Raw genomic sequence first — 16,928 nt, forward strand, 5'->3', positions numbered from 1 at the left:
CTGCAGAGGGCACTGCCTCATTCAGTTAAGATGAAAAGCGTCGCTAGAGATCTTCCTGAGACAGCCAGGGACTCTCATTCCCAGCAAAATGCCAATTACGGCAGATTTTAATGTGTGACCTTGACCTTCATCTATTACGGAAAGGTCTTCTAAAAAGTTTTGTGTGCTACATCTAAAAGATCCATCTAAAGGAAACAAACTTACAATGAAGCATTGTGTATTACAAGCCCCTTGTTCCTGGGGTCAGAGCTGCTGTTCTTCAGGTCTGGTCTTTTTTTTTTTTTTGAGACAGGGTCTCACTTTGTCACCCAGGCAGAAGTGCAGTGGCACAATCTTGGGCTCAAATGATCCTCCCACCTCAGCCTCCCAAGTAGCTGGGACTATAGGTCCATACCACCACGCCCAGCTAATTTTTGTAGAGATGGGGTTTCACCATAGCATAGGGACACCATTCTTAGGCTGGTCTCAAATTCCTGAGCTCAAGCGATCCACCCTCCTCCGCCTCCCAAAGTACTAGGATTACAGACATGAGCCACTGTGTCTGGCGGTTCTGGTCTTCATATACCAGTGCTTTGAGGGCTGCTGCCAATGTAAACAAACAATTGTACAAAAAAAAAATATGTTGAATAAGTGTGGTATAATAAGAAATACATTTGGTCTTTGGGCCTGGTTCCTGTCACAGAGATCTTAAAATCCTTGGAATTTCCTGAGTGATAAGAGTGTCTTTTGTTATTCACAACAAGCCCCTGATGTTGCGTAACCATCAGTCACACCTGAACTTGTGCTACGTTAATGCATGACGTAAGGTGTGGCTCCTATTCCGGATGAAACTGCTCACGTAAAGACCAAGGGATAAGAGGACTGGAACTATCAGCCCCACCCACTGACCTTCGGGAAGCAGGCTGGAGAGGGGGCTGGAAATAAAGCTCTATAAAAACTCATGAACAGTGGGTCTTGATGAGCTTCCGGGTTTATGGATTCGTGGGCTGCTTCCACCTGCTAGGAGGGTGGTGTACTCTAACTCAGGGACAGAAGCCCCTGTCTGTGCTCAGGACTCTTGCAGACCTCTTTACCTGGCTGTTCATCTTCCATAATCAACTGGTAAGTAATATGTTTTCCTGAATTCTGTGAGGCATTCTAGCAAATGATGGAACTCAAGGAGAAGGTCATGGGAACCCCCAAATTTATAGCTGGTCAGTCGGAAGTACCGGGACTTTCAACTGGCATCTGGGTGGGAGCAGTCTTGTGGGACTCAGCTCTAAACTTGTGGGATCTGACATTGACTGCAGGTAGATAGTGTCAGTATTGAGTTGGATTGTAGGACACCCAGCTGGTGTTGGAGAATAGGTCAGTGTGGGGAAAAAAACTCGCACATCTGGTGTCAAAAGTGTTCTGTGTGAGGGTGTAAAGAAACAAGTGTATTTCTTACAATACATGCATTAAAAAACACATAAAATTAAAGGAATCAGAATTCTTCAAAGTGGAGGGAAGAACATGTAGTTCCTAAATCGGGACACGAGAGGGCAACAAATAACCTCCAGAGTCTTGTCGTCGAACTGCTTTTCTTTCCAAGGGGTTTACACTTCCCGTTGGTTGCTAATATAGTTCATGTAGCAAGAATATTGAACTATGCCTGACAGGATGAAAGGCTCCTAATAACTAAGACCTGTACTTCATTTATAGTCGGTTTCCTTCTCAATGCCAGGCACTGCGTTGAGTACTGATATTTTAAAATGATGAGTCAGTCAAGGAGTCAAGAATTTACTGGGAAATGGCCGGGTGCGGTGGCTCACGCCTGTAATCCCAGCACTTTGGGAGGCCGAGGCGGGCGGATAACGAGGTCAGGAGATCGAGACCATCCTGGCTAACACGGTGAAACCCTGACTCTACTAAGAACACCAAAAATTAGCCGGGCGTGGTGGCGGGCGCCTGTAGTCCCAGCTACTCGGGAGGCTGAGGCAGGAGAACGGCGTGAACCCGGGAGGCGGAGCTGGCAGTGAGCCGAGATCGCGCCACTGCAGCCCCGCCGGGGGGGAGGGAGCGAGATTCCGCCTCAAAAAAAAATAAAAATAAAAATAAATAAATTAAAAAAAAAAAAAAAAAGAAACGAGGTTTCTCCATGTTGGTCAGGCTGGTGTCTTACTCTGACCTCAGGTGATCCGCCGGCCTCAGCCTCCCAAAGTGCTGGGATTATAGGCGTGAGCTACCGCGCCCGGCCTGCAACTACTGATCTTTTTAACATCTCCATAGTTTTGGGTTTTTCCTGAATGTCATATAGTTAGAATCATACAGTATGTGGACTTTTCAGATTGACTTCTTCCACTTAGTAATATGCTCTTAAGGTTCCTCCATGTCTTTTGGAGGCCTGATAGGTCATTTCTTTTTATTGCTGATTAATATCCCATTGTCTGAATATACCACAGTTTATTTATTCCTTCATCTACTGAAGGACGTCTTGATTGCCCACAAGTTTTGGCAATTATGAATAAAGCTGCTATAAACATTCATGTGCAGGTTTTTGTGTGGGCACTAAGTTTCCTCTCCTATGGATGAATACCAAGGAGTATGATTGCTGGATCATATGGTAAGAGTATGTTTAGTTTTGTAAGAAACCACCAATCTGTCTTCCAAAGTGGCTGTCCCATTTTATGTTCTACCAGCAATGAATGGAGTTTCTGTTGCTTCACAGCCTCCCCAGCATTTGGTGGTGTCCGTGTTCTGAATTTTGGCCAATCTAATAGGGGCATAGTGGTATCTTATGTTTTAATTTTTATGCCCCCAATAACATATAATGTGCAGCACCTTTCCATATGCCCATTTGCCATCTGTATATCTTTGATGTGGTTTCTGTTCAGATATTTTGCCCATTTTAAAAATTTAGGTTAAATTGTTGTTTTTAATTGTTCTTGTATTATTTTAAATAATATGCCTTTTCCAGAAGTGTCTTTTGCAAATATTTGTTCCCGGTCTGGCTTGTCTTCTCATTCTCTTGACATTCTCTTTAGCAAAGTAGATGCTTGTAATTTTGGTTTTTTGTTTGTTTGTTTGAGACAGAGTCTCGCTCCTGCCGCCCAGGCTAGAGTGTGGTGGCACGATCTCGGCTCACTGCTACCTCCACCTCCCGGGTTCAAGCAATTCTCCTGCCTCAGCTTCCCAAGTAGCTGAACTTAAAGGCGCCTGCCACCACACCCAGCTAATTTTTGTATTTTTAGTAGAGGTGGAGTTTCACCATGTTGGCCAGGCTGGTCTCAAACTCCTGACCTCAAGTGAACCACCCCCCTCGGCTTCCCAAAGTGCTGGGATTATAGGCTTGAGCCACTGCGCCCCACCAATGTTTGTAATTTTGATGAAGTCAAATTATGAATTTGAGTTCTCAATTATCTCTAAGTTCTTTCAAAGGATTATGCCTTTGGTGTCGTATCTAAAAAGTTATTGCCATACTGAAGGTCATCTAAATTTTCTCTTTTTTTTTTTTAGATGGAGTCTCGCTCTGCCACCCAGGCTGGAGTGCAGTGGCACCATCTCTGCTCACTGCAACCTCTGCCTCCCGGTTCAAGCGATTCTCCTTCCTCAGCCTCCCGAGTAACTGTGACTACAGGCACACGCCACCACACCCAACTAATTTTTGTATTTTTAGTAGAGCTGGGCTTTCACTATGTTGGCCAGGGTGGTCTGGAATTCCTGAGCTCCAGTGATCCACCCGCCCCCGCCTCCCAAAGTGTTGGGATTACAGGCATGAGCCATCACACCCGGCCTAAATTTACTCCTATGTTATCTTTTAGGAGTGGTATCTTTTGCATTTTGCATATAGGTCTGTGATCCATTTTGAGTAAATTTTTGTGAAGTGTGTAAGGTCTGTGTCTACTGTGTAGATTCTTTTTCTTTTTTTCATGTAAATGTCCAGTTGTTCCAGCACTTTTATTTTTTGAGACAGAGTCTCACCCTGTTGCCCAGGCTGGAGGGCAGTGGCACAGTCTCGGCTCACTGCAACCTCCCAGGTTCAAGTGATTCTCTCACCTCGGTCTCCTAAGTAGCTGGGACTACACGTGCATGCCACCACGCCCAGCTAGTTTTTTTGTATGTTTTGTAGAGACGGGGTTTCACCACGTTGTCTAGGCTAGTCTTGAACTCCTGAGCTCAGGCAGTCTGCTCACCTCGGCCTTCCAAAGTGGTGGGATTACAGGCGTGAGCAACCGCACCCAGCCTGTGTTTATTTCAAATTACACTTGCTCATCACTGATATATAGGAAAGCAATTAATTTTTGTATGTAAACCTTTTATCCTGCAATTGTGCTAGAATTGCTTATTAGTTTCAGGAGCTTTTTTGTAAATTCTCTTAGATTTTTTATATAGGCAATCATGTCATCTGCGAACAGAGTTTTATTTCTTCCTTCTCAATCTGTACACATTTTATTTCCTTTTCATGTCTTGTTGCACTAGCTAGAACTTTCAGTATTGAAAGTAGTAAAAGAAGCCATGCTTGCCTTGGTCCTTTGTCTTAGTGGGAAAGCTTCCAGTTTCTCACCAACATGATGTTAGCTGTAGTTTCTTTGTAGATGTTCTTTAAGCAGTTGAGGAAGTTCCTCTTTATTTTCAGTCTTTGGAGAGTTTTTATTTTTATCCCATACTTCATTTCAAAATGCTGAGAGGTTTCTTTGTTGTTTTGTTTTGTTTGATCATGAATGGGTGTTGGATTTTGTCACATGCTCGTTCAGCATCTATTGGTATGATCATGTGATATTTCTTTAGTCTGTTGATGCGATGGATTGCATTAATTGATTTTTCAAATATTGAGTCTGCCTTGGTTGTGGTATATAATTCTTTTTATTAAATTGTTGCATTCCGTTTGCTAATATTTTGAGGATTTTTACATCTTTATTTATGACAGATACTTTAATATCCATAGGATTTGCAGTGATGCCTGCTCTTTCATTTCTTACTTTTTTTTTTTGAGATGGAATCTGGAGCCCAGGCTGGAGTGCTGTGGCGAAATCTCGGCTCACTGCAACCTCCGCCTTCCGGTTCAAGTGATTCTCTTGCCTCAGCTTCCCAAGTAGCTGGAACTACAGGTGTGTGCCACTACGCCCAGCTATTTTTTATTCTTTTTTGAGACAGAGTCTCGCTCTGTCTCCCAGGCTGGAGTGCTGTGGGGCAATCTCGGCTCACTGCAACCTCCACCTCCCAGGTTCCAGCGATTCTCCTGCCTCGGCCTCCCGAGTAGCTGGGACTACAAGCGCCCACCACCACGCCCGGCTAATTTTTGTATTTTCAGTAGAGACGGGGTTTCACCATATTGGCCTGGATGGTCTCGAGCTCTTGACCTTGTGATCCGCCCACCTCGGTCTTCCAAAGTGCTGGGATTACAGGCATGAGCCACCGCGCCCGGACTAATTTTTGTGTTTTTAGTAGAGACAGGGTTTCACCATGTTGGCTAGGCTGCTCTCGAACTCCTGACCTCAGCTGATCCACTGATCCACCCACCTTGCCCTCCCATAGTGCTGGGATTACATTACAGGTGTGAGCCACCGAGCCCTCTCCCCCTTCCCTCCCCTCCCCTCCTCTCCTCTCCTCTCATTTCCTTTCCTTTCCTTTTTGGAGACGGAGTCTCACTCTGTCACCCAGGGTGGAGTGCAGTAGCCCGATCTCTGCAACCTTCGCCTTCCAGGCTCAAGCAATTCTCCCACTTCCGCCTCCCCACCACAGACGCGTGACACCATGACCAGCTATTTTCTTTTTTCTTTTCTTTTTTTTTTTTTTATTCAGGGTTTTCTTTCGTTTTTGAGACGGAGTCTCGCTCTGTTGCCCAGGCTGGAGTGCAGTGGCGCGATCTCGGCTCACTGCAAGCTCCGCCTCCCGGATTCATGCCATTCTCCTGCCTCAGCCTCGCAAGTAGCTGGGACTACAGGCGCCCGCCACCACGCCCGGCTAATTTTTTTTTGTATTTTTAGTAGAGTCGGGGTTTCACCGTGTTATCCAGGACGGTGTCGATCTCCTGACCTCGTAATCCGCCCGCCTAGGCCTCCCAAATTGCTGGGATTACAGGTGTGAGCCACCACACCCGGCCTCCACTGACTTTTAAAAAGTTAATGCTATATAGACAGCTGCATATATATAGCTGCAGTGTTCAATCCTATGCAGATTTGGAGAGGGCGCCACACAGGAATTATGGAGAAATCAGCGATTATGAACTTTAGTGCATCAGAATCATCAATGTATAACAAAATGAAGAATCTTCAGCTCTTTCTCTAAGGATTTCAATCTGGTGTGTCTGTGGTGGGGTAAGAATACGTACTTGGCGACCACCTTCAAGTGATTCTGATTCAGATGATCTCATTAAATGCAGGCTTTCTTACTTCATACCAGTATTTCTCAAATTTGAGTATGTACCTGAATCCCCCGAGGGCATGATTGCCAGATAAACACAGGATGATCCGTTTACTGTGAATTTCAGATAAACAATATAATTTTTTTAGTATGTGTCTCAAATACTGTAATATTTGGGCAAATAATCTAAGTAAAATTCAAATGTGCTTCCTCTCTAAGCATCATGAGTACTTTCAAATTAGGAGTTTAAATCTCCCTTGTGGCAGATATTTGTGATGATGATTTTGTCTTTTTAGGACATTTCAAAACATACAACCTCATCAAAGGATTTTCCTCTTCATTACTGTTTCTCCTGTTAACTTTTTCTTAGTATCTCCATCCTCCTTCTGTGGTCACTTCTGAAACAAAAAGCTCCAGAGAAATGTTACAACTTATTTTTCATACTTTTTCCTCTTTTCTTTGTTTCTCCTTTTATTTTCACACTTCTTGCTCCATTTCCTCTCTCTGCCTCTGCTCTCTCGTCTTTCCTTTGTAAGTCCCCAAGTTGCCCTGGACAAAATGAAATTTCTACCAGGGCTCCCCTCCTTCCTTTCTTCCTTTCTGTTTTCTTCTCTTTTTCCTTCCTTTCTGCTTTCTCCCTAAGCCATCCATGTCAAAATTAAAATCTGTAGGAACAAATTAGGGAGTCAGGGTACTGGGGACCAGCCTACATTATTGTGTTCCAGAAGGAGAATCTGTTCTGACAGTCCTTTTGCTAGAGCAAGTTCCAAGTCAGGAAGAAAAAAAAAAAAAAAAAAAAAGCAGGTGACCTGGGAGAGCTTCAAGAAACAATTGCTTTGCCTGGGGATCTGTTGGGAGAGTGATGGATGGCACTGCAGTTAGGACTTGGAGAACTGCAGGAAAAGGAGGGGAGTCATTGCCAGGCAGCATGAGGGGAGGAGGTGTCTAGAAGAAACAGCCATTCAGGAAGAGCTTATGAAAGGGGTGGAGAATGCACTGCCTGTGTATGCTGCAAGACCTTTCTGCAGACATTGTGTCTTTGTGAGCTGACTGCAGAGGCCATGTGCATGTGAAATGTATGAGAATGTATGTGTTGCTTATTTCAGATCATGTATGAACCTGTATGAATTGCTGACTGCAAGAAACGGGAGTGGATTGTTGAAAAGATCTTGCAGCCAGAGTGCTTGTTTGTGGTTGTGTGGTATGTGTGGCTTTTTGCCAAATGCACTGTTCTGATTCCAGCTCTGAAAGTTTAGTGGAAGTCTGGCAGATTAAGCCAAGACACAACAAAGTCAGAATTTAGAAGAAAATATGGGGGCAACATGAGAGGGAAACAGAAGCTGTTACAATAAGAGACAAGAAAAGCGAGATTTAGGGAAAGGGGAATGAGAAAACAGAAGATAAATAATAGAAATTATTTTCTTAGAAAGGAAAATTTTGAAGAAGAGCAGAAAGAAAAACAACACATTCTTTCAGATATAGGCACTGCATACTTTTAGTTCTCCTGGTACTCCAGTGACATAGTTCTTAGTCTCCCCCATTTCTTTCTGGATGGTTTATCTTGAAATAATGTATATTACAGGTATATTTTGGTTATACCAGAGGATTTTTAAACCTTAACAATTATTCAGAAATGAGCATTACTGTTTTTATATAATTAAAAAAACTTGTTGTTGTTAAAGGAGGGCTGTTGAGCATAATGAAAGTTTTGATCCAGGGATTAATTGAACAGGATTAGAGAATTTTGTGTGTGTGATTAAAATAATGTGTGAAGTGCATGACGTATTTCTTTCTTTCTTTTTTTTTTTTCTGAGGTGGAGTCTCGCTCTGTTGCCCAGGCTGAAGTGCAGTGGCACGATCTCGGCTCACTGCAGCCTTGGCCTCCTGGGTTCAAGAGATTCTCCTGTCTCAGCCTCCCAAGTAGCTGGGATTACAGGTGCCCGACACCACACCCGACTAATTTTTTCTATTTTTAGTAGAGACAGGGTTTCGCCATGTTGGCCAGGCTAGTCTCGAACTCCTGACCTCAGCTGATCTGCCTGCCTCAGCCTCCAAAAGTGCTGGGATTACAGGCGTGAGCCGCTGCACCCGGCCATGCATGACATATTTCAAAACAGGGATAATAAAATACACCTTATCTCCACATTCTAAAGATCTATGGTTATTACTTTATTAGCAAAATTTAACAGGGGCTACTTATACCTGGAATAAGATATTTAACTTAGTCATGAGATTTTCTTCTAGATTTGGTAAACACAAGGACAGCATAACTTTTAGACTGAATGTGGGCTGAAAAGAGACGTCCTCGTTGGGAGCAGCCTAGTTTTGCTTTGTTGCCAAAACATTGTAACTATATATTTTGACTTCAAACTGCAACCATTACAATCTCTCTTTCTCAGCATTTTGCTCAATTAATATTTTAAACCAAAATAATTAATAGAAATTATATTTCTAACACTACTTTGCTCTATTCATTAATCTGTCTTGTTTCATTCAGCCATATTTTCCTCCTGTACTTCCTACTCTTTTTTCCATCTGCCTCTCTTTGTTATTTCTTCCTCTCTGTCACGTTTCCCTGGATTTGATTAAAGTCTCCTTCACTTTTTCCTCACCTTTCTCTCTTTTATTGAAATCACTCCTTTTCAGGTTTGTCTTTCTCCCCAGTCCTTTCTCCGGTGTCTTTGTCTCCAGCAGAGAGGGTATGGTGGTGATGCGGAGGTGGGGAATGAGGCCTGGGAGAACGCAGGCTGGGTATAGGTAGGAGAAAATGGGGCTTCAGCTGTTTCTGCAATCAGCCTACAAAAGGCTGACTTAAAACCTGCCTCTGTAAATCCCCCCTCTTCTGCGCCCTCAAAGGGTCTCTCTACTTCCCCACCTTAAATTCCACCTCCCCCATCCCCATTTCTCTAGTGACATCACTCCTTACCAGCTGTGACTGTCAGGGACTCTGACCTACTTTTGCCCACTCTATTAGGCAATAAGCCATGTTTTCTCCACTAAACTCAGGATTTTCTGCTAAACCCTCTTTGTCCCAGCATGTCAGTGGGTCCCTTTTTAAACCTCAAAACATTTTACAGTTTCCTACAATACAGTCATTTTTTCATGCCTGAAGTTCGAGAAAAAGCATAATTGATAAAAAGATTCTATGACTGTAGAAAATCCATTTATGACTTAAATGGAGTTATACTTTATCAAAATAGAATCCATACATATTTGAAGAATCATGTATGTGTTAGTAACAATTTTTTGTTGAATCTTTAGAGGTGATGCTCAGTTAATGGATTCTTGGGTCCTTTGTGGCAAATTATAATGTATGTACCATTATTTTTCACGTTAGTAAATGCTACTGAAGCATGAACCCAAACAGCAGGCATTGATATCTAAGTAAAACTTTACTAAGAAGTGGGGGGAAACTGCAGACAATCCTTTTTATAGTCTTCGGAGGGATTACAAACAGTGTTTGACAAAGCAGTTAAGAGCATGTACTTTGCTACTCGGATTCAAATCTTGGCTCTGCTATTTTGCTAGCTGAGTGACTTCGGACAAGTTACTTAACCTCACTGTGTCTCCGTTTGCTCATCTGTAAAAAGAAGATACTCCAGGCCAGGTGCAGTGGCTCACGCCTGTAATCCCAACACTTTGGAAGGCCAATGCAGGTGGATCATGAGGTCAGGATATCGAGACCATCCCAGCCAACATGGTGAAACCCCCTCTCTCCTAAAAATACAAAAATTAGCTGGGTGTGGTGGTGCATGCCTGTAATCCTAGCTAGTTGGGAGGCTGAGGCAGGAGAATCACTTGAACCCGGGAGGCAGAGGTTGCAGTGAGCCAAGATTGTGCCATTCCACTCCAGCCTGGCGACAGAGCGAGAGTCCGTCTCAAAAAACAAAACAAAACAAAAAAAGAAGATAATCCAAACCCAGTAGGGTTAGAACACTCCATGTTCTAAGATACGATAGGTTTATTATGAGACTGGGGACAGTGATGTAACTATGTGTTTCAAGTATTTCTGTGGTGTGATCCTCATGCCTAAGTCTACCTTTACCATTTATTTATTAAGCAAGTATCTAAGTTGTCTGTCCCAGTTACCCAGAAAAGTTCTGCGAAACAATACGAAAGATGGGAACCTGTATGAGTGCAGTAGCATGATCATGGTTCACTGCAGCCTAGAACTCCTGGGCTCAAGCAATCCTCCTGCCTCAATCTTCCAAGCAGCTGGGACTATAGGCATGTGCCACCACACTTGGCCAAATTTTTTTTTTTTAAAGTTTTTGGTTTTTGTAGGGGTTGGGTGCAGTGGCTCACGACTGTAATCCCAGCACTTTGGGAGGCCAAGGCAGGCAGATCAACTGAGGTCAGGAGTTCAAGACCAGCCTGGGCAACATGGTGAGACCCCCATCTCTACTAAAAATACAAAAATTTGCCAGGTGCAGTGGTGCATGCCTGTAATCCCAGCTACTCCGGAGGATGAGGCACCAGAATTGTTTGAACCCAGGAGGCAAAGGTTGGAGTAGAGATCGAGCCACTGCACTCCCGCCTGGGTGACAGAGTGAGACTGTCTCAAAAAGACAAACAAACAAACAAAAAAGAAAAGAATTAGGAAATAGGACAGGTTAAGAATTTAGATTGAATAGAAATAAACTGATGTTTCTTTGAACATAGGATAACCACATGAACTTAGACTACTGAACAGGGCTCCCCAGTCTAAGTCTTTCATTGTACAAAAAACAGCAAGGCAGATCAGGATAATTATGGTGGTGCCAGGCCATTAGGATGCTTCCAGACTTCATTCATTCATTTAATCTGTAAATGTTCACTAATCATTCAAGGTGTTGCTGGTGACACAGATGTGTGACAGATGCACACAGCCCTTATGTGGTTTGCATATTATCATTTCTCTGGTTGGATTCTATGGATGCATTATCTACAAATTCAGTCATGTTTCCCTGCACCAAGAGAGGGTTTTTTTTTTCCTTTAATACTTGATGCTTCCTCTATTCTTTAAATGAGAACACATCTAATGTGCCTTTCCATATTTTCTTATTTCATTTTTTTCTTCTTTCATTCTTCCCAGGTTGTTATACTTCTAAGATCCTCCCAAAGACAGGGAAATCAGGACTAGGAAATTGCTGCCAACGATTTAATTTCATTGCCTCATTTTCTCTTCAGTCAGAGAGGACTAACAATATTTGCTCAACCTTAGAATGTTGCTTGAGGCTACAATGAGTTTATAAATGTTGAGGGCTTTAAATAAAGAGCATTTTACAAATGGTTATTTTGGTCTCTAAGACACTGTGCTCAAACTTTCATGTGTCTAAAGATCATTTAGTATGCTTATTCCAAATGCAGATAAATTGCTGATTTTAGATGCTTTGAGTTGCTCAAGAAATGCAGGTACACAGGCTCATTCAGGTCAGAGGCAGAGGTCAAGGAATCTGCATTTTAAACAAGCATTCCAGGTAATTTCTATGTGGTAGAGGAAAAAAAAATCTTAACCAGATACAATTAAAGAAGTAGGGGGAAAACCTGTATCATGTTTCTTGCCAAGACTGTGTTTTCTTTCCACCCATTCTTTCTCTTCTGTGATTCAGCCAATGTATGGTCTTTCCTCCCTTTGTGTCTGGCATCTGCATTTTCTTAGCATAGAGAGAAAGCTCAGTTTAATGTGCTGAGATGGAGCAGGGAAAAGGAGGAGGGATGTGGGTGGAGAAAGGCTAGATCAGTGTTTAGCTATTCTACTGCAAAGACTGTTGTCAGGCTGGTTCTAGCCGGCTGGCTCCAGGAGAGGAAACAGTGGGGAGAGCTAGATTTACTGCAGCTGCCGCTACCGTTCCTTATTTGCTAGTCAAGGTTCTAACATTAGACACCAACCACCTTTTCTCCAGCCACGTGAATTTTGCAGTTATAACGTTAGATAATCCACAAAGAACACTATTTTAGGTACTGATGATAACTATCTCAAAGATTAAATTCTTGTTTACAATTCTCTTTACTACTTCGAGGCCTCTAGTTTTGATCAAATCCCCGCTAGTTTCCTTGTCTTCAAACCCAGGGGGAAATGATTTGCAACAGATGATGTGTATAGGGCACTTAAAGGTTTTCGCTTGACCTGCAACAGACAAACAATTTATTGTTATTTCATTTGTAAATTATGTTTTTCTGGCTGATGTAGATATACTGTGTACTCAAGTAGAATCAGAGACGTGGGGTTGACTGGACCTGGGTAACTCTGTTAGGGAAGATTTTGTTTTCATTAAACCCTCAATTTTATAGGCCTTCCCCCAGTACCTTCATATTATCCCATCAAAAACTTTAAAATGCTTTGTACTGCAATTTGTTTTCTTTTTCTTTCTTTCTTTCTTTTTTTTTTTTTGAGAGGGAGTCTCATTCTGTCACCTAGACCGGAGTGCAGTGGCACTATCTCAGCTCACTGCAACACCCGCCTCCCAGGTTCAAGTGATTCTCCTGCCTCAGCCTCCTGAGTAGGTGGGATTACAGGTGCCCACCACCACGCCCAGCTAATTTTTATATTTTTAATAGAGATGGGGTTTCACCATGTTGGACCAGGCTGGTCTTGAACTCCCGACCTTAGGTGATCCGCCCACCTCAGCCTCCCAAAATGCTGGGATTACACATGGGAGACACCACACCGGGCCTGTACTGCAAATTTAGTTGTCATATTCTAATCAGCTAATCTGACTAGCTGAAATGGCTAGATAACATGTGTATTTCAGCACAACCAAATGGATAGTTAATTCTAACATCTCTGTTGTGTAAACTTGGGTCTTTACCCTGGCTGTGTATTAAAATCCCCTGGAGGGCTCTGAAAAAATATTGGTGCCTGGACGCCAATGCTGATTTAATCAGTTTTTGGGAGCTCTCCTGTTGATTCTATTTATTTTTTAAAAATAGAGACAGGGGCCAGGTGAGATGGCTCATGCCTGTAATCCCAGCACTTTGGGAGGCTCAGGTGGGCGGATCACTTGAGGTCAGGAGTTCGAGGCCAGCCTGGCCAACATGGTGAAACCCCAAGTTTCTACTAAAAATACAAAAATTAGCTGGGCGCCTGTAATTCCAGCTAATCAGGAGGCTGAGGCAGGAGAATCACTTGAACCTGGGAGGTGGAGGTTGCAGTGAGCCAAGATCTCACCACTGCACTCCAGCCAGGGCAACAGAGCCAGACTCCGTCTCAAAAAACAAAACAAAAAACAATAAAAATAGAGACAGGCTCTCCCTGTGTTGCCCAGGCTGGTCTTGGACTCGTGTATTCAAGCGATCCTGTTGTCTCAGCCTCCCAAACTGCTGGGATTACAGGTGTGAGCCATCACACTCAACATCCTGTTGAATTTTTTTTCTTTTTTTTTTTTTTTTTGAGATGGAGTACCCATCTGTTGCTCAGGATGGAGTGCACTGGCCCAATGTTGGCTTGCTGCAACCTCCACCCCCAGGTTCAAAAATTCTCCTGCTTCAGCCTCCCCAGTAGCTGGGATTACAGGCAACTGCCACCACGCCCGGCTAATTTTTGTATTTTTAGTAGAGGCAGAGTTTCACCATGTGGGCCAGGCTGGTCTCGAACTCCTGACCTCAGGTGATCCACCTGCCTTGGCCTCCCAAAGTGCTGGGATTACAGGCATGAGCCACCCTGCCCGGTCCCTCCTGTTGATTCTCATGTGTCTAGGAATAAGAGCAAAAATCTGGAAGTGTTTTGGTGCAGGCAAAGGATGAACCCTAACTTCATCTCAAAGACATTACTTACCTATAGAGTTGGTCTTACACTCATAGGGATATGCAATAAATATAACTATTTGTATGATTATCACACATATCTAAACATTGTATAATTTCTCTTTGATTACTATTTGACTGTTTTGGTATCAGTTAGTCTTGAATAATAATAGCTAACATTCACTGAGACTTACTATGTTATGCATTACATTTGAGTTACCTCATTCATCCTTCTATCTTAATAAAGTGGTGCTAATATGATCTTCATTTTGCTGATGAGAAAACTGAGGTTTATGGAAGTTAAGCAACAATCTCATGCTGCTAGTAAATACAGCTAGGATTTCAAATCAGATTGATCTGACTCCAGACATGCTAGGTTACTTATAGTATGTCTTCCCAGGGGATTCAATTGCCGCACCGCCCCGCCCCCCCGCCCCGCCCCGCCCGGCCCCGACACCTCCGAACTTCCTGAAAAATATTAATTCACTGGTTAAAAATGTGTGGTGCATGATTATGTCAAGAAAAACTACTTAAAATATTTTTGAGCAGGTGTTGCTACCCAAAGGAGATGTGAGTCCACAGCCGCCTAAACATATCAACCATGAATTCTCAAAGATTATGACTGAATGTATGTACAGCCTTTCTGAACCTTGGGTTTCCAATATGGAAATGGTGTAAATAATTTTTGCCCCCTTATTACTTCATATAAAAAGTATGATGTATGAATTTGATCATTACTCACATAAACATTATCTTAACAATATCATGATAATGGTAATGTGTTTAAGCCTTATCATTGGCTTTTTTTAAATACCCTCCTGAGCTTTGTTTTACTCCCTATTAGCTTAAGTCAAAAGCAACGTTGTTACATACATGAGAATATCTTAGAATGTGTATGGCACATAGAAGCAATAAATTGAATAGCAACTTTTTTTTTTTTTTTTTTTGAGACAGAGTTTTGCTCTTGTTGCCCAGGCTGGAGTGCAATGGCACCATCTCGGCCTGAAACCTCCACCTCCCAGGTTCAAGCGATTCTCCTGCCTCAGCCTCCTGAGTAGCTGGGATTACAGGCGTGCGCTATCACGCCTGGCTAATTTTGTATTTTTAGTAGAGACAAGGTTTCTCTATGCTGGTCAGGCTGGTCCAAAACTCCCGACCTCAGGTGATTCGCCTGCCTCAGCCTCCCAAAGTGCTGGGATTACAGGCGTGAGCCACCGCGCCCTGCCCTGAATAACAACTTTTAAGGGCAAGTGGCAAGTGAGTTAATAGTCATACTTCCTATCCTCAGTTTCACCAGTACAACCCACTTTTTCTGGGGATGCAGTTACCACGAATTGGATTCCTTAAGAGTGGGACTGAAGGAATAGGTTAATTAAATATTATTATTGATCCTCTGTACATTTTTTTCCCTGTGTCAATTTCACTGTGTTTATTTTGTCAGATTTTCAGTGTTAGTATCTCTGTGCTCAAGCTTCCCTTGATCACAAAATGCTTCTCTTGGTCTTGGAGTTGAATATACTTTATGTCCCAGGGGGCTGAATATCAGAGTGGAAGTAAATAGCAACAATTTAGTTCTGTAGACCTTATCCCCTTTGTTCTCAAGATAGTGTATCTATCTTATAGGGCGTTTGTTCCTCTAAATTTTGTAAACCAACTAGACGCCTATCCTAGGTTACTCTCACTGACCTAACATTATAATAGCACTAAACACTTTGAACAGCACTTGATCTGTGTCAGCTGTTAAATATTATATACTTATTAACTCATTTACTCCTTATGACAACTCCATGAAGTAGGTGACTATTTTTATCCTCACTTTTACAGCTCAGCAGATAAAGATACAGAGAGGTTAAGTTACTGCAGAGGTTCACATAGGGAGTGGAACCATAAATCCAATCCGGGCAGTCTGGATCCAGAAGTTACCACCCTGGGTTATGCTACATCTTTTAAAGGACTCTCGAGACGCTGAAGGAAATTAGTCAAAAAATTTTTTAAAAGCAGAAAATGAAATTATATTGTCAATTGACTGGGAGAGGAGCAGTGAAAAGTTGTTGGCTGAGGTCACTGAGACAGGGCTGAGACCAGCAAGAAGGCAAACTGGTGAGCACATTACCGTACCTCACACCTGGTGTCTCTGGTGACTGAAGTTATTTGGAAGTGAATCTTCCATGTAAACCTGGGAGGTCGTCTGTAGCCCTTTTTTTTTCTCCTTAAGAAAATGTAATAGCGTAGTTGAACATTCATATTCTTAGCCTCCTTTGGGCTATACTTTTATTTTTTATACATAGTTTTAGAATTTACAAAATGCTCTTAAAATATCTCATTTCATTCTCACAACGACTCCGGACTGTACTCTTTTATCTTTTCACAACAAAGGCTCAGAGGAAGCGTAGCAACTAACTTGTCCAAGGTTTACGCCGGTTTCTAGGGGGCAGAGCTGGCGCTATCCACCCCGCCTGTATCTCCAAACCCGCTTCAGCCAGGAAATTTATCATGTGGTTTTAAATTTGCCTCTCAATATACAGAGGTACTGTCTTTACTCCAGTCCCGGATAAAGACCTTCTAGGTATGAATGATCTTTGTCTCCATATCTTTGCCTACCGGAGGGAGGAACCACCGTAAGCGGAGACTCCGGGCGGCGGCCGGCGGAAGGGCTGGGCGGGAGGCGTCGGGATGCCGGCAGGACCCTGCGCCCGAGGGGGTAGGGGGCTCGTGTCGGGGTTCCAGGCGCAGATTGATGGGGCCTAAGCAGGGAATGTGAGGGCGGGGAGGGCGTACAACGGAAGGGACTAATCTCGCGGTTTCGAGTTGGGAGCAAACCTCGCCCCCCACCCCCCCCATCCGTTTCCCTTTCTCAGTGAAGACGGTTTGGGGGCGGG

At 43.1% G+C, this 16,928-nt stretch overlaps 1 protein-coding gene across 15 annotated transcripts in view; it reads left to right on the plus strand.

Moving 5' to 3' along the window:
* The window catches only part of RIMKLB (ribosomal modification protein rimK like family member B), a 114,454-nt gene that overhangs the window by 12,080 nt on the left and 85,446 nt on the right, over positions 1-16,928 (plus strand). For 8 of the 15 annotated variants that reach the window (NR_123740.2, NR_147945.2, XM_017019684.2 and 5 more), the window contains exon 1: positions 883-1,101. The exons of 2 other annotated variants lie outside the window; for them this stretch is intronic. The gene's annotated coding sequence lies outside the window, so the exon portion shown is untranslated. Of the gene's footprint in view, positions 1-882; positions 1,102-16,587; positions 16,616-16,928 lie in introns of those variants that run through there. 5 more of the 15 variants (XM_017019686.2, XM_047429193.1, XM_024449092.2 and 2 more) reach the window with 1 other exon arrangement.

The sequence above is a fragment of the Homo sapiens genome, chromosome 12, assembly GCF_000001405.40.
Source record: "Homo sapiens chromosome 12, GRCh38.p14 Primary Assembly".
NCBI lineage: Eukaryota > Metazoa > Chordata > Mammalia > Primates > Hominidae > Homo > Homo sapiens.